Source organism: Homo sapiens, chromosome 5 (assembly GCF_000001405.40).
Source record: "Homo sapiens chromosome 5, GRCh38.p14 Primary Assembly".
In the NCBI taxonomy this organism is placed as follows: Eukaryota; Metazoa; Chordata; class Mammalia; order Primates; family Hominidae; genus Homo; species Homo sapiens.
Window position 1 is genome coordinate 159,839,091 of NC_000005.10, and position 25,248 is coordinate 159,864,338.

The 25,248-nt window shown below is 43.2% G+C and overlaps 1 long non-coding RNA gene across 1 annotated transcript in view; it reads right to left on the bottom strand.

Moving 5' to 3' along the window:
• The window catches only part of LINC01847 (long intergenic non-protein coding RNA 1847), a 94,613-nt gene that overhangs the window by 62,319 nt on the left and 7,046 nt on the right, over positions 1-25,248 (bottom strand). The window lies entirely within an intron of this gene.

Sequence of the window (25,248 nt, forward strand, 5' to 3'; positions counted from 1 at the left end):
TAGAAGTGACAAGCCAGGCATGGTGACTCATGCCTGTAATCCCAGCACTTTGGGAGGCTGGGTGGATCACGAGGTCAGGAGTTCAAGACCAGCCTGGCCAACACGGTGAAACCCCGTCTCTACTAAAAATACAAAAATCAGCTGGGCGTGGTGGCAGGCACCTGTAATTCCAGCTACTTGGAAGGCTGATGCAGGAGAATTGCTTGAACCCAGAAGGTGGAGGTTGCAGTGAGCCAAGATCGTGCCATTGCACTCCAGCCTGGGTGACAGAGCAAGACTCCATCTCGAGAAAAAAAAAAAAAGAAGAAATTAGAAGTGACTAAGGGCACCCCAGAGCCTCCAGTGTACTAAACCCACACTACAAGTCATGTATGCCTGGAATTCACAAGGATGTTTTTTTCACCTATGAGCTTAGATGACTCCAAAATCTTTTTGCCCCCTGCTCTCGTCATATCTGAGCTCATTAAATTGCTTCGGTGCAATTGCAAACTCCCACATCACAGTTGCTTCTCCTACCCCCATCCTTACCACCATATGTACTTATATAGGTCACTTCTGGCAAAATTAGTAAGTATGAACTAAGACTTTTAAATGACTGTGGCAGCACCCAAAGATGTTAAAATCAAATGCTCTCCTTCTTTTTTTTTAACTTCGGCTTCCACCTCTAGTATAAGAGAAGATGCTTCCAGAAGCACTTAAGAGAAATCACTCCAACTCTGTGCTCAGTTTTCTGCCACTTGCAATGTGTTTCTTGCTCATGAAACTCATGATGGCATTTAGCTCCTCCACGGACACATCTGAGAGATAACTAGGTGAACAACATTGTAACTCACCACCTGGAAAATTATAGACTCTAACCTCATGGCACATCTTGAAATTATCACAGACTCTTGTTTCCCAGTTATGGAGAGCTCTCCTCAAACTGTCTTACCACAGAATGGAATGTGCTGGCTCACATGACCAGGTGGCCCTGCAGGGGCACTAAGTTTAGGCATGATTTGATGGTCATCAAGGCCTGGCCCCTCTCCATCTCTTGACTCTCCCCTCGCTATGATTTCTCCATTCTCAAGCTCTTCATGATGTCAAGAGGGCTATCCTCTCTCTGACTTACATCCTTCCTGCTTCAAACCCGGAGGAAAAGAGAGCCATGCTCCTTCCTCAGCAGTTCTCTTTGCCCAGAACCAGGTCCCATGTCCATCCCTAATAATTACTGTAGCCAACAATGTGATGCCAGACCTGAACCTCACAGGCTGATCCCTGAAGCCGAAGGTGAAGTCAACATCACTTCATCTAAAACACATGAATTGCAATTGGAATTCTAACAAGAGTTCTAAGAGGAAAATCAGGTGCAATAAACAACAGAATTCTGGAGGGGTGGATGCGTGCTGACGAAACAAAAGATGAGATCTCCCTGCGAACATCTCAGACACATGGTCAATCAACTTCTGCTAGTTCACTGCAAGGAACAGGGAACTCACTATCTTATGAAAGCAATTTACTCCATCTTTTATCATAAATTATTAGAAAAATCTTCCTTACCTCAGGTCACGCATAACTTGCATGAACTATCACTGACTCTGTTCTCAGAACAATACAGGAGTGTATTCAGATACATGACAGCCCTTTAGATATTCAAAGGCAGTTTTCAGAATTCTCTCAAGCTTTCATTCCATAGGCAAAACATTCTGATTCCTTCAACTGTTCTAATGACATTTCACCCTTCTTTTTATGAGCTCTGACTTGTCAACATCTCTCTCAAACTAGAGCAGAACCATTACATCCATAGATCTTGACACTGTAGAGTCATAGCTCACATAGAAAGCGGACTGTAAAGTTAGCACACAAGGCAAAAACTGAGTATTACCTAAACTGCCCTTGAAAGGGGTGCCACTTTGTAGAACAGTATTATTACCTCTCAAGAAATCCAACATCTTCAGATTTCTCCAGTGCTAGATCACTGTCTTTAGTGGATCACATGATCAATTGCTTGCATTTAGGAAGCCATTTGCACTCTAAACTTGGCATTAAAATATGTATCTAACTACAGCAGAATCAGACTCAACACAGAGAAGTACATATACTTGGACAGGCACAAATGAAATGAAAGTAGCAAAGGGAATAGCAGATTAATAAACCTCAGCTTTGATTCAACCTAGGGCATACACTCATTGAGTGATAGGGCAAGCTAAATTCTCCCTCTCTCAATATCTCTCTCTCTCTCTCTCTCTATCCATCCCTCTCTAATCCAGCAGCCCCATCCATGTCCATAGACTAGAAATAAGACTTGATTATACCACTATTTATAAAATCTAAAAACATTATCTGGCCAGGCACAGTAGCTCATGCCTATAATCCCAGCACTTCAGGAGACCAAGGTGGGAAGATGTCTTGAGACCGGGAGTTTGAGAACTGTCTGGACAAATATATATACAATTATCCACATTGTATTTTATATGGCAGTCACTTTATATTAGCTTATATTAAACTTACTCTCAACCAGATTTCTAGGGTTTATAATCTTGTAGCAGAAGGCCAATTATCAAGTCAGTTCTCCCTAATACTCCATTTATATAATCAATTATTGAAATTTGAATATAGTGCCTTAATATTTACTTCTGTTCAATTTCATCCTGCTGATTTTACCCATGATTCTTATCTATGATGATCAATTAAGGATCCCAATTTCATCACACTGTGCATTTTTACCCTTCCCAGCTTAGTGCCAGGGATGGATCTGATGAACTAGAGTTCAATCCAGTGTTGCTAAAAGTATGGCCCAAAAGAGGAAAATCTGAGTACAAAGCCCTGAGACAACCCATCCACCTCTTCATTCTTACTTGCCAGATACAGTTGGTCACTCCAAAAAAGAAAAAAATCATCCTAGTCATATATCCGAAAGAGATGCTGCCAAAGTTCTGCTGAAACCCAGACTCACTGTGCATGTCACTCCCCAGAGCACCAGTCTCACAACCCCTCTAAGACTAAATGAGTTCTTTCTGGCATGACTCTTAGAAACCAAACTGAAGTGCACAAACTACTCCTTAATCCAATTGCTCATCACATTCTATGCAAAAACCCATTCCAGAATTTTGCTGCCAGCTGCCAGCAAGTGGAAAGCTGTTCTCTCTCTTTCATTAAGGTCCACTAAAAATTATTCTCCCAATACTGCGCATCAAGGTTGGATTCATTCTAGGAGAATACCGGGAATACTAAAGCTGGGGCTGAAGGAGCGTAACTATCATCTAGTCCATGATAGATTGTGTCCATGTCACCGATGATTCCCAGTCAAAAAATTAGACATCCTCACCGCTGTCTTGTGACTGTCAGTGCCCTCCTGTGGGAGGGGTATACACAGGGTCAACCCTCTATATTTATGGTCTGCATCCATTCATTCAACCAGCTGTGGATCACAAAAACAATAAAAACAATACAACAATAAAAAACATAAATTTTAAAATACAATGTAATGACTAGTCACCTAGAATTTACATAGTAAAACCATGTAACGCTCATAAAGACATTTTGGTCAATCACAGACCACATATATAAGGGTGGTCCATAAGATTATAATACCATATTGTTACTGTTTATTTTCTATGTCTAGCTATGTTCAGATACACAAATACTTACCATTGTGTTACAAATGCCAACAGTATCCAGTATAGTAACATGCTGCACAGGTTTGTAGACTAGCTGCAATAGGCTATCCCATATAGCCTAGGTGTGTACGAGGCTGTACCATCTAGGTTTGTGTAAGTATAGTCTATAATGTTCACACAATGACAAAATCACCTAATGATGCATTTCTTAGAATGCATTTCCATCGTTAAGCAATAATTGACTATATATGGTATTATAAGTAATCTAGAGATGATTTAAAGTATACAGGAGGATGTGCATAGGTTATAGGCAAACACTACGTCATTTTAAATCAGGAATTTGAGCATCCTTGGATCTTGGTATACACAAGGGGTCCTGGCACCAATGCCCTGAGGATATTGAGGGACAACGGTACTTCCCTACCCTGTTAATGGTAGGCTCAGCTGTGCGGTTTGCTTTGGACAAAGGGATGTGAACATACATGAAGTAGGCTTTGTTCAAGCAGAAGCTTTAAGAGCCATTGCACAGCTCAGCAAGCCTCCATCAGAGCTGCACTTTCTACCTGGGCCCACAATGAAGATTCTCAGTCATCAATGGAGACAGGCAGCTGACCCATGTCCACAGCTAACTCTAGCAAGAAATAGACCTTTGTTACTATTGACCACTGAGATTGGGGATCATTTGTTATCACTGCAAAGCTAATACATAGTCCATTCTTGACCTTCAAACATAAGGAAATCAAAGCCCTAAAACTTTAGATGATTAGCTTGTTAGCATAGTTATCAGTAGTTATCAGTAGATTTCATAGCTCTCAGTAGAACTTGAATTCAGGTCTCCTAATATTCAGGTCATCCACTTACCTTGCAATGAATGAACATGAAAATGTTATCAAAGAATAAAGGATAAAGCTCTTAAAGATAATGAGGAAGCCATTTTAATGATGTTACTATGGTCACCCTACTGATATTAATAGGAGACCTGTAAGATAAGAACTAAGACATATTATATGAGAATTCAGACATTCAGGTGTACCAGCCACATCTTAAAAATGGCAAAGTTCATTCGGAAGTTTTTAGTTCAATTGCCATCACAGTCCATGTACCCACCATGGACTTATCACTCTCAAAGATACTGGGTGCTCAGGTGGAAATAAGACCCAGCCTCTCTCCCTAGAAACCTGTAGCCTAGTCTGTCATTTTTACCGTGTGACCTGTGGAAGACCTATCCCAGAAAGTGCTGATTGTAAACACGTGGGTGCACTGTATATTATTTTCTCCTTTCTCAAGAATTCATGATGAAGTTAGTTTAATAAAGCTCTAAGAAGTCCTATGGTAGAAAAACCTGCTCAACTTTATTTAAGCCAGTAAGTATCTCACCAACTTATTTGACTGTGGAATCCCCATTTTGAATAACACCTTACATCCTGCAGAACTTGTGTTCCAAGTACAGCCTTATGGAAACAATACCCCAACTCTGCTCCCAGTGATACTTACCCCTTCACCCCAATCAGGCCAGTCATAAGAAGGATGCCACCAAGACACTGTCTTTCAAAATTGGTTAGACCTTGATTTCCCCTTTCTCTGGTCCCCTTCTTTCATTTTCACCAGTAAAATTACTTCATCTGGGCTTATGGGATACTGGAGGGGAATAGCTTGATGTAGATCCAGCACTAGTTCTGGGTAAGTTAATCTCTTGTTTCCCAGGAAGGAGCTTCCTGGAGCAGGCCAGGAGATGGGCCTATTTTGGTCCAGGCAGGTGGTAAATCACAGTGTGGAGACAGCTGCCCACTCCTCCTGCTGTCAGGCTGCCCTGGGAGATGTTCTCACTCTCCGCAGTCCTGCTGTTGCTCTTCTAGAATGTCACCCTAACCCTGCAGTGTTAAAACAGAGCTGGGGTAGGCAACTTGCCTGCATAATGTATGCAACCTCCCTTATTCACAACTTCTTCCTGTCCAGAGTCACAAGAATCCAAAGGTTGAAAGAATTCATGTTTAAAGCTTCTCTGGTCCAATACCCTCATTTTGCAGATGAGAAAACTGAGGCACTGAGAGGCTAAATGACATGCCCTAAGTCAGTAAAGAGTGACAATAGCCCAAGCTCTTGGGACCCCAAATTTAAGATGTTTTCCATTCTACAATGAATTGCCAGTGATAGCAAAGGGCTGGAAAGAAGCTATGCATGCACAAGCTGCTATGACATGAATGTACATGCATAAATGTGCACATGCTTTGAAAAAATACAAATGACATCATCCTTATGGTTCTGCATCTTGTTTTTGTTTTGTTTTTCACTTAATAATGTTTGAACATCTTCCCCATGGTTACAGATAAATCTATATCCTTGCAAAATTTTGGTCTCTCTATTTTGGCTCTTGTCTTCCCATCATCCATGCTGAGCACAGCAGTCAGAATAATCTTTTTAAAATGTAAATCAGATTCTATTACCTCCAGGCTTAAAAACCTTCAATGACTTCCCATTACTCCTATGATAAAGGCCAAACCACCCAACCCGATGTCTCAGGCCTTAGGTGACCTTACTTTTCACTGCCCCCTCCCTGGCCTCACCTCTGTACAGAAACACCAGGGTTTCTTTCATTTCTTTAAAGGAACCTGGCTTCTTCCTCCACCTCAAGGCCTCCTGGAATGTTCTTCCCTCTCATTAGAATACCCTTCTTGCATGCATGACATACATATACATGTGTGCACATATATACCTGTGTGCATGCTCACATTTACACATGCACCCACACACACGTATGGGTCTTCAAACTTCAGCTCAAACAGAACTTACTGCTTCTCCTGACCCCCTCCACTTCCCACCCAACTCCAGACTTCACCAGATCTGACATTACTCACTCTTGTAGCAGCAGCTAATTTTTCTTTAAGGCTTTATCCCAGTGTATGCACATATATATACACATTTGTAGAATTATTTGATGAACACATCTTCCCTGTGAAACTATGAGATCTCTAGGGAATGGCAGGTGGCTTGATGCATCATTGTATCCTCCACACTTAACCCAGTACCTAACAAATAGTAAATCCTCAATTAATATTTATAAAATGAATGAACAAATGGAAGTGCCAAAGCAATGAGTGCAAGTGGTATAGGAAATATTGTCACAGGAAAAGAACCCCCTTTCCCTGAATTAGTCTGCACCCTGGAATCAAGTGGGCAAGTACAAATTGCAGGCCTCAAACTCAAGTTTGAGAAGAATATCACATTCTTTATTATTTAAAATCAATTTGTTCCCGAAGAATGGAGATGGAGGGGTAAAGTCCTTATTGGAACACCCCATTCCCTCCCTCTCCCAGCTGCAAATAAGAACACAGTATAATTGTGTGATGGTCTGGAGACAAGACAAGGATCTGTAACCTCCAGCATATCATGAAACCCCTGACTCTTCTAGGTCCACATCTATGGTGACCCCTTGCATGGAAGGCCTACTCTTTTTTGATGCCCTGCATGGGACACAGAACTCCACTGAGACCCAGTTCCCCAGCCTCAGGGTCCCCAAGGGAGCACGAGCTGCCATCCCCATTGGGTCTCTTTATCCCCTTAGGCAGCTGCCACAGAAGGCTCACAGCTACCCACGGCCAGAGAGATGTCCACAGAGAGCAGAAAGTGCCACTCTTTGAGAATGTGCCTAGGAGATTCATCCCCTGGTCTCTACCCCAGGCTGCCCCTGCCCCAGACCTCTCTTCCCTTCCCATTCCAGAGAATTGCTCCTTGCCTCCCCTTTCCCCTCCACCAAGGACACCTAAGAGCATCTCTTCACAAGATCCAGATGAACCATGGGCTGCAGGCTGTTTCTGCTGACAAGAGTCCCTGAAGCAAGAAGCCCAAGCTACCTCATTAACATGGGGAGGAGGAAGGCAATGGAGGGAGCTCAAAAACACATTAATATTCCAATAAATCACAAACTATTGCTTCACATGTCATTCTGAAGCCTTTCACACCTCCAATTCCTGCCTGAGCCTGAGCCAACTGCCATGTGCAAAAAGGTTCCAAGGAGAATGGGAGGGAGTGAGGACCAGAGGAAAGGCAGGAACTTGAAGAGGGATTTAGGAGGACTAAAAAGATTCAGAGGCAGGATGGGAGCCATCTATTAGGACATGTCCCCAAAGCCTTCACTAGGAGACCCTTCTCCCTCCTCATGGTCACTGCTGCCCCCTGCCCCGCCTCTACTGCTTTTAAGGCACTCTTCTGAGACCTTGATGGTAGAACTGTTTATACTTACCTCCATGGGAATTCAATTGGATTTCATCTAAGGGGTGATGAGAATGGCAGGCCTCAAGAGCAGGACTCTTGCAAAGGGCGAGTGGTGAGCGGTGGGTGAAACTAACACTCCCAGTATTAGACTGCTAGGGAGAAGGGGGCACAGGCCCATTCGTCCCCAACTAATCAACCAGAATGATCTTCCCACCCCATGGGACACAGATGAGTGTCCCTGCCCACCCAAATCACATAAATGCATAAGCTGTAGCCTCAGCCCTTGGAAGCCAAGCCAAGGGGCAGACTGTGAGCCCAGAGCCTGAAAATAGAGTTAATCCTACACTCTCGAGTCTGGACCTCCCCATCCACAAAGCTTTCACCTGAGCCCAGCTGATATCTCCAGCAGCTCCCAGCCCTCCCAGGAAGACCTTCCCAGCTCCCACTCTGGCGCCAGCCCTTGGGTGAACCGCAGGTGGCTGGGATGACTTATTTTCTTAGCTGATCGGTAGCAGCAGCCCAGCTGGCTCATACCTCAAAGGCAGGAATTCCTCCTCTAGCTCATCAGCACTAATTTGTGCCAAGGAGCCAGGGAGGGGACAGACTCTGACCTCCCACAGGCCCCTGCCTGGCACCTGGTCCAAGGCTCAGGCTGTAGTCAATGGAGCCACTGATTACACATGACCTCACGAGCTCAGTCTGCGGTATTATCGGAGTCGGGTATCTCCTTACCACAGGCCCTGCTTGGCCAAAAGTCTCTACCTGGATCCTGGTGGTGATAAACAAGGTAATTGTGAGGGTCTCACCTCACCTTGTTTTAGACAGAGATGAGAAACCCAGAGGACTAAATACCAATGGCTGTGTCGGCCCTCGATGAATGCACTGAGGGGGAACACGTGGCTTTGTATCAATAAATATCAACTGTATGGCATTCTGGAACCATTGAGGTTCTGTGGGGGATACAGACATAGTTTTGGATACTCTCCACATGTAACTACAGCCTAGGTGAAGAGACCAAACTAATGCAATGAACCGTCTTCATCCGATAAGCATTTACTGAGGCCAGGCATGGTGGCTCACACCTGTAATCCCAACATTGGGAGGCCGAGGTGGAAAGATTGCTTGACCCCAGGAGTTTGAGACAAGCCTGGGCAACATAGTAATACCCCAACTCTCTATATTTTTTAAAAAGAAAACATTTACTGAGCACCTACTCTGTGCTAGTCACTGTGATGGAACAACAGCTGTGTTGTCCAAGAAGCCCCTGCCTTCCTGGAGGTTATATTCTCATGAGTGCAACAAGAAATTAACAAGTAATTCATGATAAAGTATAATGGATATTAGTGCATGTTGAGGAATGCAAAAAGAGGGGAGCTTCAATCAGAACATGCTATTGAAAAAAAAAAGGCTTTTTGGGGAAGGCAGAAGGAAGAGGAAGGAAGACACCCATGTTTCACAGGCTTGGAGGGCAGACCATGCATAGACACACCATCTCAGAAGCTAGTGCAGAAATTGAGATGTGAACAGCTCCTCATGTTCAAACCCCAGCTCCACTACTTGCTATTGATCTTGGACAACTTTCTCACTTAGTGCCTCAGTTGTACCATCTATAATAAGATGGTGATAATAATAGTGCCTATCTTATAAGGTGGCTGGGAGGATGAAATGAGTTAATTAACACAAGGAAGGCTCTTACTTAGCAGAATAAGTCTTCAATATGCAACCACTGATATTGTTGTTATTATGACCAGAGCTTAGCTGAAGGTAGAACAAGGGAAATCATAACAAAAGCCTGAATCCAAGTCATCCTGATGGAACAAAGTCATGGGACTTGGTGACAGGCTATGTCCTGGTAACTGAGAAGGAAGAAGAACCAGCATGGATTCTCTCATTGTTGATGAACAGAATGGAAACTGCAATAAGCCCTGAATTAGGACACCGAAAGACCTGTCTTGCTTTCTGGCTCTGACATTTGGTAGCAGGGTAACATTGGAAAATCACTTGAGACTCTTTGCCTCAGTTTTCACATCTATAAAATGGAGAAAACATTGGCTGCTCTGCCAACCATACAGGGTCATACCTCAAAGCAAGCAAAAAAGTGAGTGTGATGGCCTTTTAGTCACATTGCGAAGTGCTACTACCATCATGGGAATTATTATTATCCTAAAGGTTGTAGCTTGGGAAAACAAAAGTACATGCTTCATACTGAATCTCCAATGATGATAAAGAAATTCTAGGCCTCTTTTCTTCTTTTATTTGCTTTTTAAATTTCTGAGGCTGTGCTTCTTAAACTCCTGTGCGTACAAAATACCTGGGGATCTTGGTAAAATGCAATCTGATTCAGGAGGTCTGGAGAGAGGCCTGGGTCTCTGAATGTCAAACAAACTCACAGGTGAGCAGTTCACTGCTGCTGCTGGTCCACGGACCACACTTTGAGTAGCAAGGTTCTCTAGCAGACCATATAGAAAAAGTGGTCATATTCCTCAGGGTGAGCTGACAGAGTAGACAAAGGGGAGAGGTGTTCAGGATCCACAGCTGTAGGGGCCCAACAAGCTGCCCCCCACCTGCCTTTATTGACAATCATTCTGTGTGCTTGCTAAGTATCAAGCACCATGCTAGATGCTTGGCAAATATTTGCTAATATAATCCCTGCAATATCCCTATGTAACTGATACTATTATTGTCCCTATTTTACAGATTGAAAAAAACTAAGGCCCAGAGAGGTTAAATTATTTGCCCAAGGTCACACAGCACACAGTCCTTCTACCTCCAACTCCAGAGCTGAGCCCAGAGCAGAAGGTAATAAAACACAGCACATTCTGTGATCAGCTCCCACTCCAAACCACAGAGCAGAAAATCAGCTGCTGAACATACACTCCTGAAGGCTGAGTCATTCCATGGCAATGGCCTAAAGAAACAGTCCCAGATCTTCCTTGGTTCCTGTCCCACCCAACCTTCCTCTCGCTTCCATTCTGTGAGCTACCTAGAATCTAATAAACCTCTTCTTTTTGCATATCACAGGGTTTTAAAGCTTTGGCTCTGGAGCCGGACTGCCTGGCTTCCCATCTTGGCTTCACCACTCACTAGTTACTTAACTGCTCCAAGGTTCAGTTTTCTCATCTGTAGTGTAGGGATAAGAATAGTACCGACTCCACAGTGTTGAAGAGAACTAAATGGGATCATGCATGTTGAGCCCTTAGCCCAATGTCCTATACACAGCACAGGCTCTATAGCTGCTTCTAGTATGATTATTAAGGTAAAAGTAAGAGTAGGTTTGTAGCCGCTGTTATGTTAAATCAGCCCACCACACCCCAGCCACCTGACACCCTCCCTGGATGCCTTGAGAGGCCTCCAGGGTTTCAGGGCTTGGGCAAGCGTGAGTGATTCGCACTCTGGCAGGAAGTTCCAGGCTATTGCACCTGCCAGCAGTGCTCGACTCTCCTTCTCGTAGAGAATGGGGAATGTGTCACATTTATGGGGGCCCTTTATTGCACATCAGGGAAGCGCTTTGCACAAATGTTTGGATCAAGTTTTCATGACTCTGGCCCCAGGCCTGCTATGAATCAGTCTTGCAGTCCCAGCTTACTCACTCCAGAGATGGTCCTGAGGCTGTGGTTTCCATCTCTGCCTGCCTCCCACCTCTCCTTCTTCCACTCCTACCTGCTGTCACCAGCCACCACCTTGAATCCCCCAGGAACCCAGGACGAAAGAGATGTGGGGTGATGTGAATGACAATTGCCACGCTGGCCCTCCAGGATGTGTTAACTGCTGTTAAAAGATACTCCAAGTCATTATTGTAACATTATGAGGACTGAGCTGATTGCCGCTAATCTCAGACTCCCCTTGTGTTCCTAATGGAGGGGAGCCGCCTTGTGTGAAAAATCCCATTTTGTGTCACTCTTCTAAAATTTCATTTAAGAAAAATAGGGGCAAAATGTGATATTCAGCAATGGAAAATGAGTAAGATAAGGATTTAAGTACAGAGCAAGTGAATCACAAAATAGAACTTCGTGCAGTCAGGTAAGCACTGAAGAGAGCAGACACACAGGAGGAGTGAAGGGGTAGAGGACATCAAATCGCCCTTCTGATCCACTTTCACCACCTCTGATGACATCAGCAAGAAAGTCTCTTTTTGTGTTAGTGTGTCTTTAACACCCTTGGACACAAGACAATCTCCCTTTGTTAACAAACGGAGAGCAGGCCCACACCAATAGGCAAACAGCACAGCTTGCTTGGGTTAAAATCCCCGCTAAGGCACACAGGCACTCTGTGACCTTGGAGACGTTAATAAACCTCTCCACGGCTCAGCGTCTTCCTCTGTGAAATGGGGTTAATAGTAGTCCTTCTTTCATAGATTTACCGTGGGGATTCAATGAGTAACTTCACAGGAAACAGGTTTGTCACTCTGCTGATGTGAGCAACCATTACGTGGCAGCTGACAGTATCTGAATTGAATATAATTGCTTTGTTCTCATTGTACTTATTTTTAGGATTATTTTCTAGTTAGGGAACGTGATACTGGTTTTTCATTTTTAATAGCAATACAAAGTATATTTGTAAGAGATGTACTTAAAGTCACCCAAAAATAGTATATTAACAATAGAACAGATAATATGAGGTTGTGGCAAAAATTGTGAAAGTGGTACTTGAATAACTAAATTTTGGGAAGCCTGATCCTGTCTAATTTACTCATTTTACAAATGCAAACCTGAGGCCCAGAGAGGGAAAGTGAATTCCCAAAGGTCACACAGCAAGCTAGCAGCAAAGTGGTTCTAGAATTCAGAACCCAGCTGAAAGTTTTACCTAACACACTGTATTCAGGTCACTCAAAATAATAAGAGCTGTCTAAGACAAACCCACAGTCAATATCATACTGAATGGGCAAAAACTGGAAGCATTCCCTTTGAAAACTGGCAAAAGACAGGGATGCCCTCTCTCACCACTCCTATTCAACATAGTGTTGGAAGTTCTGGCCAGGGCAATTAGGCAGGAGAAGGAAATAAAGGGTATTCAATTAGGAAAAGAGGAAATCAGATTGTCCCTGTTTGCAGATGACATGATTATATCTAGAAAACCCCATCATCTCAGCCCAAAATCTCCATAAGCTGATAGGCAACTTCAGCAAAGTCTCAGGATACAAAATCAATGTGCAAAAATCACAAGCATTCTTATACACCAATAACAGACAAACAGAGAACCAAATCATGAGTGAACTCCCATTCACAATTGCTTCAAAGAGAATAAAATACCTAGGAATCCAACTTACAAGGGATGTGAAGGACCTCTTCAAGGAGAACTACAAACCACTGCTCAATGAAATAAAAGAGGATACAAACAAATGGGAGAACATTCCATGCTCATGGGTAGGAAGAATCAATGTCATGAAAATGGCCATACTGCCCAAGGTAATTTATAGATTCAATGCCATCCCCATCAAGCTACCAATGACTTTCCTCACAGAATTGGAAAAAATTACTTTAAAGTTCATATGGAACCAAAAAAGAGCCCATATTGCCAAGTCAATCCTAAGCCAAAAGAACAAAGCTGGAGGCATCACGCTACCTGACTTCAAACTATACTACCAGGCTACAGTAACCAAAACAGCATGGTGCTGGTACCAAAACAGAGATATAGACCAATGGAACAGAACAGAGCCCTCAGAAATAATGCTGCATATCTACAACAATCTGATCTTTGACAAACCTGACAAAAAGAAATGGGGAAAGGATTCCCTATTTAATAAATGGTTCTGGGAAAACTGGCTAGCCATACGGAGAAAGCTGAAACTGGATCCCCTCCTTACACCTTATACAAAAATTAATTCAAGATGGATTAAAGACTTAAATGTTAGACCTAAAACCATAAAAACCCTAGAAGAAAACCTAGGCAATACCATTCAGGACATAGGCATGGGCAAGGACTTCATGTCTAGAACACCAAAAGCAATGGCAACAAAAGTCAAAATTGACAAATGGGATCAAATTAAACTAAAGAGCTTCGGCACAGCAAAAGAAACCACCATCAGAGTGAACAGGCAACTTACAGAATGGGAGAAAATTTTTGCAATCTACTCATCTGACAAAGGGCTAATATCCAGAATCTACAATGAACTCAAACAAATTTACAAGAAAAAAACAAACAACCCCATCAAAAAGTGGGCGAAGGGTATGAACAGACACTTCTCTAAAGACATTTATGCAGCCAAAAGACACATGAAAAATTGCTCACCATCACTGGCCATCAGAGAAATGCAAATCAAAACCACAATGAGATACCATCTCACACCAGTTAGAATGGCTATCAAAAAGTCAGGAAACAACAGGTGCTGGAGAGGATGTGGAGAAATAGGAACACTTTTACACTGTTGGTGGGACTGTAAACTAGTTCAACCATTGTAGAAGTCAGTGTGGCAATTCCTCAAGGATCTAGAGCTAGAAATATCATTTGACCCAGCAATCCCATTACTTGGTATATACCCAAAGGATTATAAATCATGCTGCTATAAAGACACATGCACATGTATATTTATTGCGGCACTATTCACAATAGCAAAGACTTGGAACCAACCCAAATGTCCAACAATGATAGACTGGATTAAGAAAATGTGGCACATATACACCATGGAATACTATGCAGCCATAAAAAATGATGAGTTCATGTCCTTTATAGGGACATGGATGAAGCTGGAAAGCATCATTCTCAGCAAACTATCCCAAGGACAAAAAACCAAACACCGCACGTTCTCACTCATAGGTGGGAATTGAACGATGAGAACACATGGACACAGGAAGGGGAATATCACACACCGGGGACTGTTGTGGGGTGGGGGGAGGGGGGAGGGATAGCATTAGGAGATATACCTAATGTTAAATGACGAGTTACTGGGTTCAGCACACCAACATGGCACATGTATACATATGTAACTAATCTGCACGTTGTGCACATGTACCCTAAAACTTAAGGTATGATTTTTTTTTAAAAAAGGTACCCCTTGAAGTGAGTGATCACTTCTTTGACGTCCTGGTACTGGAGCTATTATTATGGAAATCCTCAGCTACAATGAGCCACTTCACTTTTTTTTTAAAAAAAAAAAAGGAAATAATATCATTTTCAGGGTTTTCAAAGAATTCAGGCAAGGAGCAAAAACAATTCAGAACTCAGGATACTGTTTTCTTTGAAGCATGTGTAAGATATGCCTTTTGGTTCCTAAGTTTTCTTCATAAAAGCATATTCAGGCTAAAACAGAAAATACTGTGATGACTTTTTTTCATAAAAGCAGAAAGGGCAGGCAAGAAAGCATTTGTTTCATTGGAGGACAAAGTATGAATTTATGTGGTCCAGTGTAACCATAGCATAACAAGATTACATCGCGGGGGTAAAATCAGTCCAGTGGCAATTGGAGAGCAAAAAACAAATTGCTCTCCAGCCCTGTCTGAGTGGTTCCTGGCTTCAAAACTGAACAATAAATTCCCAACCCTTTCCAGTTCTTTCTTGTTAGTAGGCAGGGCTGGGGGCCTTTTAATTTCCAACTTTCTTTAAATATTGATTACTTGTAAGTGCACTAGAGACCAGGCTGTGGGCTTAATTCTATTAGTAGGAATGAATAACCACCTCCGTCCAGCACCTGCTGCAATGAGCAATGTATTAAACTTCTCCACCTCTGAAGAGGTTCTTCTTTCCTTTTAGGAATATCGAATTCGTGTCTTATGACTAGAATCTGGGCAAAATGGAAAAATTTGAGGTGAAACCAGGAAAAGAGATCTACCTAGGAGTTATCCAGTGACTGTGAGTGTTCTCCCCTCGATGTATTTCCCACCCCTTACTCTATATGAGGATCACAAATGTGGAAGTCTTCAGCGGCTAGGCAGGGAATGGAAATGGAGGGAGCTGTCTAGGGAAAGTGGGGACCTGGAGCATGCCTACCTCTCTAAAGGGGCGGCAGCCACTCAGCTGCAGTCACCTGTCGCCTTGTGATGTAGGCCCAGTATTGCCAGATATTCTCATCACTAAAGAAATGCCAGAAACCTAGATTTTTGTAAATTGCTCTGATTTTTAAATGCCAGTGACTGGTTTGCTTTTTTCCAAAATTCAGTGTAGGCTCAACACAACCATCAGAGTGCGGCTTCAGCCTGCAAGCACCTCTGCTCTGTCCCTTCCCCTAAGCAGTCTTGCTCTCTCTGATCTCCAAATGCCAAGCATGAGCAATGACTCACCAGTCTCCACTCCAGCCTGACCCCCACCGGAGCACTACATCTGCACTTCTCAGCTAGCACCCACCTCCTGGTTTGTGTGTGTATGTGTGGGCTTTTTGCTTTGTTTTTTGATTTTTCTTTTTTGCCAACATTTAAGGCATTGATGAAGAAGAAGGAGCCAGTGAAGGAAATAGAGGAAAGGAACCCAGTTGATGGCATCCAACATGGCAGAGAGGTCAGGATGGTCCCTTGTTCTTCTTGGTCATGGTGCCTGGTTCACAGAAGGTGCTTAATAAATCTTTGTGAACAAATGACAAAATGAGGGAATAAAGTGAAAGACAAATGGAGTCACTGTGTAGTCCATAAGGAAAAATGACCAGGATCTGAAGCAGAAACTATTAGCCACTGAAATTGAATCAACAATGGAGAAACCAGAGCTTATAAAGTCAGAGGTCCAACTAGGAGAGAAAAGAAAGGTAGAGAATTTAAAATCCCACAGCCTGAGTCAAAGTTGGGATGTATCATCTGGAGACAGAAAGCCTGAATTTGAATCATTGCTCTGCTAATCAGTAGCCACAAGACTTGGGGCAAGTCATGAATCCCACTGGGTGTTGGTTTCTACATCTGAAAACAGGGACTGAGATTTTCTAGCTCCTGGAGGTTATTGGGGGAATCAAATGAAACAGTGGAACTTAAAATGCTTTGCAAACTGAAAGACACCCCAGAATGGGGAGAGGGGAACAGGAGAGTCAAGTCACGTAGAAGGCGGTGAGTCAGAAGGACGGTGCAGAGCCAACATGTCTCTTGGGCTGTCTGCATCATTTAACTTGTCAAGATGGCTGTTGGCTTTGCCCTTGGCTTGGGTCACCCTGATTAACAGGTGCCTGGCCAGCTGGAAGTTTGACTCTGACTAAGCTGACTGGACGACTGAGTTGGGAGGAGCTCCTTAACTTGGCCAGTGATGGAAGACAGCTAAGACAGCAGCCAAAAGAAAAAGCAACCTTCCCCATCCAGCCCAAGGATGACTGGATTATCTGTGAAACTCATCCGACAATCTGTCTCCAAGGGTACACATGAAACAATCCTTCCAGGGCCTCATTGTTAGTGGAGAGGGTGCACCAACAAACAAGCTCATTCAGGGTGTGAATTATTTGTGTTCATAGGATGCAAGTTTACACAGCTCCATTAACAAAAATTACATCTGGCAATCACTTCTAAACAAATGCAGTGACTGTGGTTTTAAGTAGTGAGCTAGACAATAAAATGGAGCAGCTTCCTCAAGCCTGCTAAGTAATTCTCTCCTTGACCTCAGCAGCTGGAAGCTCGATAAATGGTTAAGAATGTGGGCTCTGGAGACAGATAAACCTGGTTCAAATCCTAGCTCTGTCACCTTGGGCCACTTAACCTCTCTGAGTCTCAGTTTCCTCAACTCTAAAATGGGAATAATAATAGTAGCTACTTTCAAGAAAAGTTGTTAGGATTAAATGAGATGACCTTTTCAAGAAGCTAAGCACAGTGCTTCTCTCAAAGAAAGCAGTCCAAAAATGATAGATAACACATTTGCTCCTATGGTCACTCCAGAATTTCATTGTAGATCTAGTCTCTTACTTGCTGGGATTTGGAGGATTCTAGACTGTTAAAGATGTGAACACCATTGAATTAAGACTATTTAGTACAAAGAGTTTATTTTCTTGGGGCCTGAGGGCATCTTGAAGGCCCATAAGAAACTTTTTGGGAAGACATAGAGGACCCCAAATTTAAAAAGTTCTAGGCAACCTGTGAGCTCTTCAACTAGAAAGGCTCCACTCTGACCTGTTTTTTTTATACAGGAGCTGTATGTACCATTTTGTTTGATGAACTGTTTTTTACTAGTACAAATAAGTCAACCTCTTCATTGTACAAAGAGAGAAGCTGAGGCCCAGAGAGAAGCTGAGGCCCAGAGAGAAGTGACTTGACCAAAAACACATTGTGAATACGTACCAGACACAGGACTGGGTTTTATGTCTCCAAATGTTTGTTAAGCATAAAAAAATTAGTTTAATTTATTAACTATTAGATAATTAATATTCTCAGTACAACCATTCTATCTTTAATTAGATCAATGTTACACTCCTTCCAACATGCTTCTTCTCCTTTGAGACATAGACTAAAAAGATCTATCTTACATCCAGACACATGGAGAGCTTCACTTAGGCACACATATACCTTGTACCTAGGAGCTGCTGTACAACCCAAGAACTTTCACATTCTGTTATTTTGCTTTTGCTTTTATTGTCAAAATGGTTCATAGAAGAGCAAACCAAGACAAATTCAAAGAGATCGGGACAAAATAAAGAAGGAGGGAGAAAAGAGAATCCATGAAATCCCAAATTAGGTGAGTTCTGTATATGTACAATGTCTAGTTCCTAGGAAAACCATTAAATTATCATCCTCACATCCTCACATGCAACCTCAGAGCTGGCAGCTATTGAGTGTTTATCTGAACCAGGTTCTGTGCTTAACATATCACACCTGTTTGTTTTTTCATCTAGATCTCTCAAGAACTCTATAAGGCAGGTATTACTATTCCCATTTTACAGATGAGGAAAGAAGAATAGAATTAAGTAAGTAGCACAAGATCACAAGGCAGGGACAGAGCCAAAATTTGAATTCAAATCAGCATAACTCCAGAGCTCTTGCCTTTAACCATGGATTCACCTACAGCCACATGTAACTTACACGAATTGAACTAGATATATTCAAATAAACAATCAAAACAAGTAGAGAGAGAAAAACAAGTGAACAGAGTACATGATCCCACCTGTCCTTCCTCCCTCTGACCATGGACCTTAAGATGAGTGCCAGACTGAATATGTACTTTGATGGTCCATACACAGCCACACACACACATCATCACCACCACATGCAGAGAGTGACTCTACGGTTTAAAGACATACTTTAAACACTTTACTAAGTGTGAGCCAGCTACATCATCTGAGGCTCCAAGAAGCCGTAGTGATCTGGTCCAAGGTTGGGAGAAAAATGACTGCATTCTATCAGTCTCCGACAAGAGCAAGGAAGCCCTTCAGAGGGACATTCAAGGGAAATTTTGACCACACCGTTTTTCTCCTTAGGTGTTCACTTGAGACCTCCCTTAGGAGTTGTGTATTCTGTCTCTGGACTGAAAAGGAGCCTAATGGGGAGGCAGGAAAGCCAGCTTCTGGCCCTCACTCTGCCACCACACTAGAGTGAGATATCTTCTGTCTGCCAAAAGAGGATCACTTAGGGAGCCAAATGATTAAGAAGCCCTCACTTGGTATGTGGGTTTCTTCTCCGAGGGCTGCGGGAACTGGGTTACACCAAGTTGATCTCTACGAGGGGACTGTCCAGACACTCAGGAGATTCCACATCTCACACGGAGGACATCTACCAGTACCTCCCCCATTTCCAACAACTCCATGTTTTTATAGTGCTTGAGGCAATCCTCTCCCTGGGTCTATGGGGGAATAAAAAGGGACAGCCTCTTGGCCTGGAGGCACAATTGCAGCTGGCCTGGGGCTCAGACCTAGACTTGGAAACAAGGACAGGCTGCAGCCCCTCTCCATCCCAATCAGCAACCCCTGCCCATTCCCAGCAGCTGGCCACTTGATCATTCACAATATCAATGACAGAAGAAGGTGGCAGGAGCCAAGAGAAAAAAGGAAATCCTTTCCAGCCAACTGCAATCTGAGCTGTCCAATCCAGAAGTTTATATTATTAAAAATAAAAAGGGAAATGAAAAAATTGACCAAATGTAGTTATAGGGAGGCTGAGATGGCACATTGCAGGGCCTCTTGGTAAAAGATGAGGACTTCTTCTCTCAGCCAGTGGGTTTTGTCTTTATCATGTCAAACAACCATTCTCAATGGCTTTGTTTTCTTTAAAGGAATTGACCCATTTTATTCAAACAAATAGACCAGTTGTTTGAGTGCCAGGCAATATAGCCTTCATATTCTTCTGCAGCTTAGCAAAGTTTCTCAAATAACAGCTTTGCATGCCCGTCTGGGCTGAAGAAACATACAACTTAATCATCTAGGGCCAAGAGCCAATGTGACTGTTGGAGGAGAGAATCAAATGTAACTGTGTGGAATGAAGGTCCACGCTCTGTGGAACTCAGTGGACAGCAATGCCCTTTGGAGCTGGACCCAACTACAGTAGTTAGACCCTCGCCCAATGGAATTTCACCTGCAAGTACTGAAAGGACCTAGAAACAAACACTCCTAGACCTAACTGTGCTGCTGCTTGCATTGCACTTTGTAGCACAATAGCCCCTGACTTCTGTGGTCTGCTCGTTGGAGAGGGCCCTCTCCCTCTAACTAGAGGGCTGCTCTGTAGGTCAACCTGTTTAGCTAGGGCTCAGGAAACCAAGCCCCATCCTGACTCCAAGGCTAAGATAGATAGCCATTTGCTACTAGTACCTTTATTCTCCAGTTTTAGGGAGGGATGGATAGGGGTGTGTGTGTGTGTGCGTGTATGCACATTTAATATTACTATTGTATATATGCATATATATCATATGCATACTTCACTGTTATATAACCCAAGAACCTTCCTCTGCTATAACTCACTTTTATTCTCAAATTGGATTGTAGGTAAGTCTTTTCTTCTCTTTCCAGGTTATAATTTACTAGGCCAGAATTTTCTCTTGTATCCCTACATTGAGAGAATGCCAATGGATCTTAAAAGAAGAATCGTAGAGATCCATTTTCCAGTCCAATGCTTGGCTCCCCACCCAGAGCCCAGTACAAGACTGGCTCACAGTGGCACTCGGTAAATGTCTGGCAACTCAATCAAGAGGTTGGTCAAAAGGCTGACTGGGGTTTGCCCCGCTCAAAGGCAGCTTCAGGTTCTTGGCTCTATGTCCTTGATTAGGCTAGAGCTAGAGAAGACCCCAGCCATTATCTAATAAACACATGCACACACAAAATTGTAAGCTCTACAGGACAGGTTAGCATGTCCCAGTCCCTTCAAGGGCCAGCCCCTGAGCCAAGGATACAAGCACCAGTAGTTCATTTGGGAGGTGATCCCAGAAAGCACCAGTAGGAGATTTGGAAAGTAGGATGGAAAGGAAGGCAGCCAAAACATGATGTGTTAATGGGCAACTGAGTCATATTCCCAGTGGGGACCTCTGGGTGACAATGTAGCACATGCCTCAGAGTTGTCCCTACCAAGGAATATTTTCTACCAACTTCCATCTGTTAACTGAAGGCTTCTCCTGCAGATCTCAGTCCCTAGCACCCCCAGACTGCCCTGAGCATTGGCCAAGCATGCTGAGAAAGCCCTGGGGCAGAGTCCTGGGTGCATGCAGCAAGAAGCTGGGGAGTAAAGGAAAGTTGAGTCCCTGTGGGTAGGAGCAGGGCTATAAGAGCAGCCGACACAGCTGGAATCCCTGGTGCCTATAGCAGTGCCTGGAACATAGCTGGTGTCAAAAAAACAAGTTACATAAATGAATGCATTCATTCCATTTGTTTTACAAAACTTTTTAAAATTATTTTTTTAAAGGGGGAAACTTTCTTCAAAGGAAATATTATGAACAAAGTTCAAAATGTAGAAGAGATTAAAGAAAGTTGCCTGATCTAAGGACCAAAGCCCTGTCTCCTCCTTCCACTATCTACAGACACAGGTGAGGAACATCCAGGGTGCCTCAGAGCACAGGGTGGAAAGTCCTGGTCTAATTCATTGGCTTCATTTTACAAACAGGACTATTGAGTGCTCTGTCTCTGGTTCACCAGTGTGAACCCCAGTGGATATTAGCATGCTGTCTCAGTCTATTCTCCAAAGCTGAAAACCACGAGTTAGTGCTGAAAATCAAAGGTAGCCTGGGAGAGTTGGCCAGTGAGGGTGGGCACCACCCCTGGGCTTTGGCTCAGACTGAGTAAGAACCTCCCCTGGAAGCACCTGGGAAGCCCTGGCTGAGGACTGGGACGTTCTTCCCCAAGACTGGAGGAAAGGAAGAAGCATTATTGCAAAATCATGACACCTCAACTGTCTCCAGGAACACAAGCCATTAAGTCCGATGTCACTTGCATCCCATTGCTCCAGAAGCAAACTTAGTAGCTGAGGGGGTTGTCAGCACCATCCGTTGTCACTCTCACAGAAGCTGCTTTTCACAGCTGCCAGAGGGACTGTCATCTTGGACACACATGTGTGGAATTGAGTCCCCTTGTCCCTGGGAAGATTTGCTGGGTAAACACATCTTGAGGGGGTGGTGGCTGGGAACAAAAATCCTGAAGAAATTAGAAACACAAGTTTGTGCTACAAAGCCAAGTTTGAGGTCACTAAATTAGAATGTACACTCATGGACAGGGAGAGAGAGGTGGAAAGAAAGATATGCGTTCACCTCCAGGAGCTGGACATCTTGGGCTTCCTGTGGCAATGTTTGGATCACACACATGGTATTCACCCCCCTGGGTCTAGGTTTCTTGCTGTGAACACTGAAAACCCCAGGCCAACTGCCTTCCCTCTGGTCTTGACATTATCTGGACATCAGGTGAGGCAGCCAAAGTTCACCTCCTAGTTCTATGGATGCAAGGGGAAACATATCCCTTCTTCGGTCTCTTTGGAGCACCCGGCATTCCCTCTGCTGACAAGAAAAAGAAAAGAAATAATAAAAATGGTTTGGTGTGAACCCCAGTGGATATTAGCGTGCCGTCTCAGTCTATTCTCCAAAGTCAAAAACTAATGGATCATTCCACCTAGGACAACTTGCCCCCTCTCCTCATCTTACAGATGAAAATGTGAGGCCCATAAAAGAAGTGACTTGCCTAAGATTGCAGTTATTTAATAAAAGATCTGGAACTAAAATGCCAGTTTTTTCTAATTCCTGGTCCATCACCTCTTTTTCTAAACTAATTTTAAATAAAATCTACCTTTTGTTGTTTTAGCTCTGCTTTTCTCCCCCTTTTCCTTTCTTTGTTCCTTTAAAATTTTTTTAAATTTTTTAGCTCTGTGCCTGACACATAGACTTTCATTTAATATTTGTTGAATAAAGTATTGTATGAATATATAAATGAATCTCCCTTCTGAGGGAAAGTTGGGGCTTCTTAATTTATTATATTTTATTTATATGAGATGGCATTTCACTGTGTTGTCCAGGCTGGTTTCAAACACCTAGGCTCAAAGGATTCTCCACCTCAGCCTCCCAGGTAACTGGGATTACAGGTGCACACCACTGTGCCTAGCAGGACTTTTCTTTTTAATCCACTTGTCAGTCATCATAGATCTTTCAAACGGTACACACATAAGCATGTTGGATAAGCTGTGTTCTTTATAGAAAGTTGAGATTGCTAGATGCAGTTCAGGGTTCAGAATAAGAAGGGGTGATAAAAAGTGAGCAGCATTTGGTTGCAATTGAGAAGACTGTTGCAGTAACACCTCCTTGGAGCATTCTCAGATCCTTGTCCACGGCCCAAGGCAAAAAGAAGTTCAAGAGCTTGCCTAGTGGTGGGCTGAAATTACTTCCAATTCCAAAATTCTGTAATTCATCACATCAATTGACCTAAAATCAGGATATCCCTGCTGCTGGCTATAATCGTATCTATACCCTCAAAACACTCAACCTGATAAGGTGATTTATGAAATCTTGTTTTTTCTGTCCAAAACAGCCACAGTGATTTCCACCTAAGAGAGAAGCCTCTGGACATTAGAATGTCTCTGGCGCAGCCTGAGCTTGTCTCTCTCGGCTTTATCTACTTATCCTTAGCACTTAAACATTGCAAACCCAGCAATAGGTTTCATCTTTGTTTGTTTGGATTTTGCTATTTACTAACCACTCCTTTTTCCCCCAATAAAACATGCTGACTGCAAACACAATTTTTTTTCAAACAGCACAGACACTAACAATGAAGAAAATTAAAATAGCTTTTAGCTTTTTTATGAGCACCCTTCCTTTCACTTCCCTGACTCCATCACCCAACGTTTGAACCTCATCCTGGTGCTCTCAGCGCTGAGCACCACCTTTCTCTTTTTTTTTTTTTTTGAGATGGAGTCTCGCTCTGTCATTCAGGCTGGAGTGCAGTGGCGCAATCTCAGCTCACTGCAACCTCCGCCTCCTGGGTTCAAGCGATTCTCCTGCCTCGGCCTCCACAGTAGCTGGAATTATAAGCGCCCACCACCTGGCTAATTTTTGTATATTTAGTGGAGATGGGGTTTCACCGTGTTGGCCAGACTGGTCTCGAACTCCTGACCTTAGGTGATCCACCTGCCTCGGCCTCCCAAAATGCTAGGATTACAGGCGTTAGCCACCACGCCCAGCTGCACCACCTTTCTTTAAGTACACTGGGTGAAGCCCTTTACACTGCCTCCTTTCATTCTCACAACATCCCACAATGTGGTGATTACTGGTTCCATTTTACAGATTGGAAACTGAGTCTCAGAGAGGTTGCAACCTGCCCAAAAGCACACAGCCAGTAAAGTGACAGAAATGGGTTTCAAATCCAGTTTTCATTTCCAAAGGTCAAGTCTAAAAATAAAAATAGCTACTAAGTTTTTATACCTTTACTATGTGCCAGGCACTATGCTAAGTGCCTTATGTACATTATCTCAAATATTTACAGCAAATCAATAAAGTGGGCTTTATTCTACAATTGAGAAACCGAAGGCAAAGAAGGGTTAAGTGACTTGCCCAGCATTATACAGCTAGAAAAATGCAGCCAAGAAGCAAATTCAGAATTTCTAACTCCTAAGTCTGTGCTTTTAACCTGGAAACTATGTGATTCCCTCCACTCTGTAGGCTGAGACAGATTTATGCATAAATGGAGTCATATTCTATACTCTATTCTGTAATTTGTTTATTTTTCTCGTCAGTAAAGGTGGCGAGTTTTCTTTTTTTCTTTTTTTTTTTTTTTTTTTTGACAGAGTCTCACTCTGTTGCCCAGACGGGGCTCTCACTCTTTTGCCCAGATCTCGGCTCACTGCAGTCTCCCCGATTCTCCTGCCTCAGCCTCCCGAGTAGCTGGGATTACAGGCACATGCCACCACACCTGGCTATTTTTTTGTATTTTTAGTAGAGACAAAGTTTCACCATGTTGGCCAGGCTGGTCTTGAACTCCTAACTTCAAGTGATCCACCCTCCTTGGCCTTCTAAGTAGCTGGGATTACAGGCATGAGCCACCGCACCTGGCCTGGTGGGTTTTCCATTCTTATCTGTAAACTTGAAATAATGTGACCCAATCCTGCTCCCTTAAACCAACAATTGGTGCTTCCTCTATCTGGAGGTCCCTCTATCT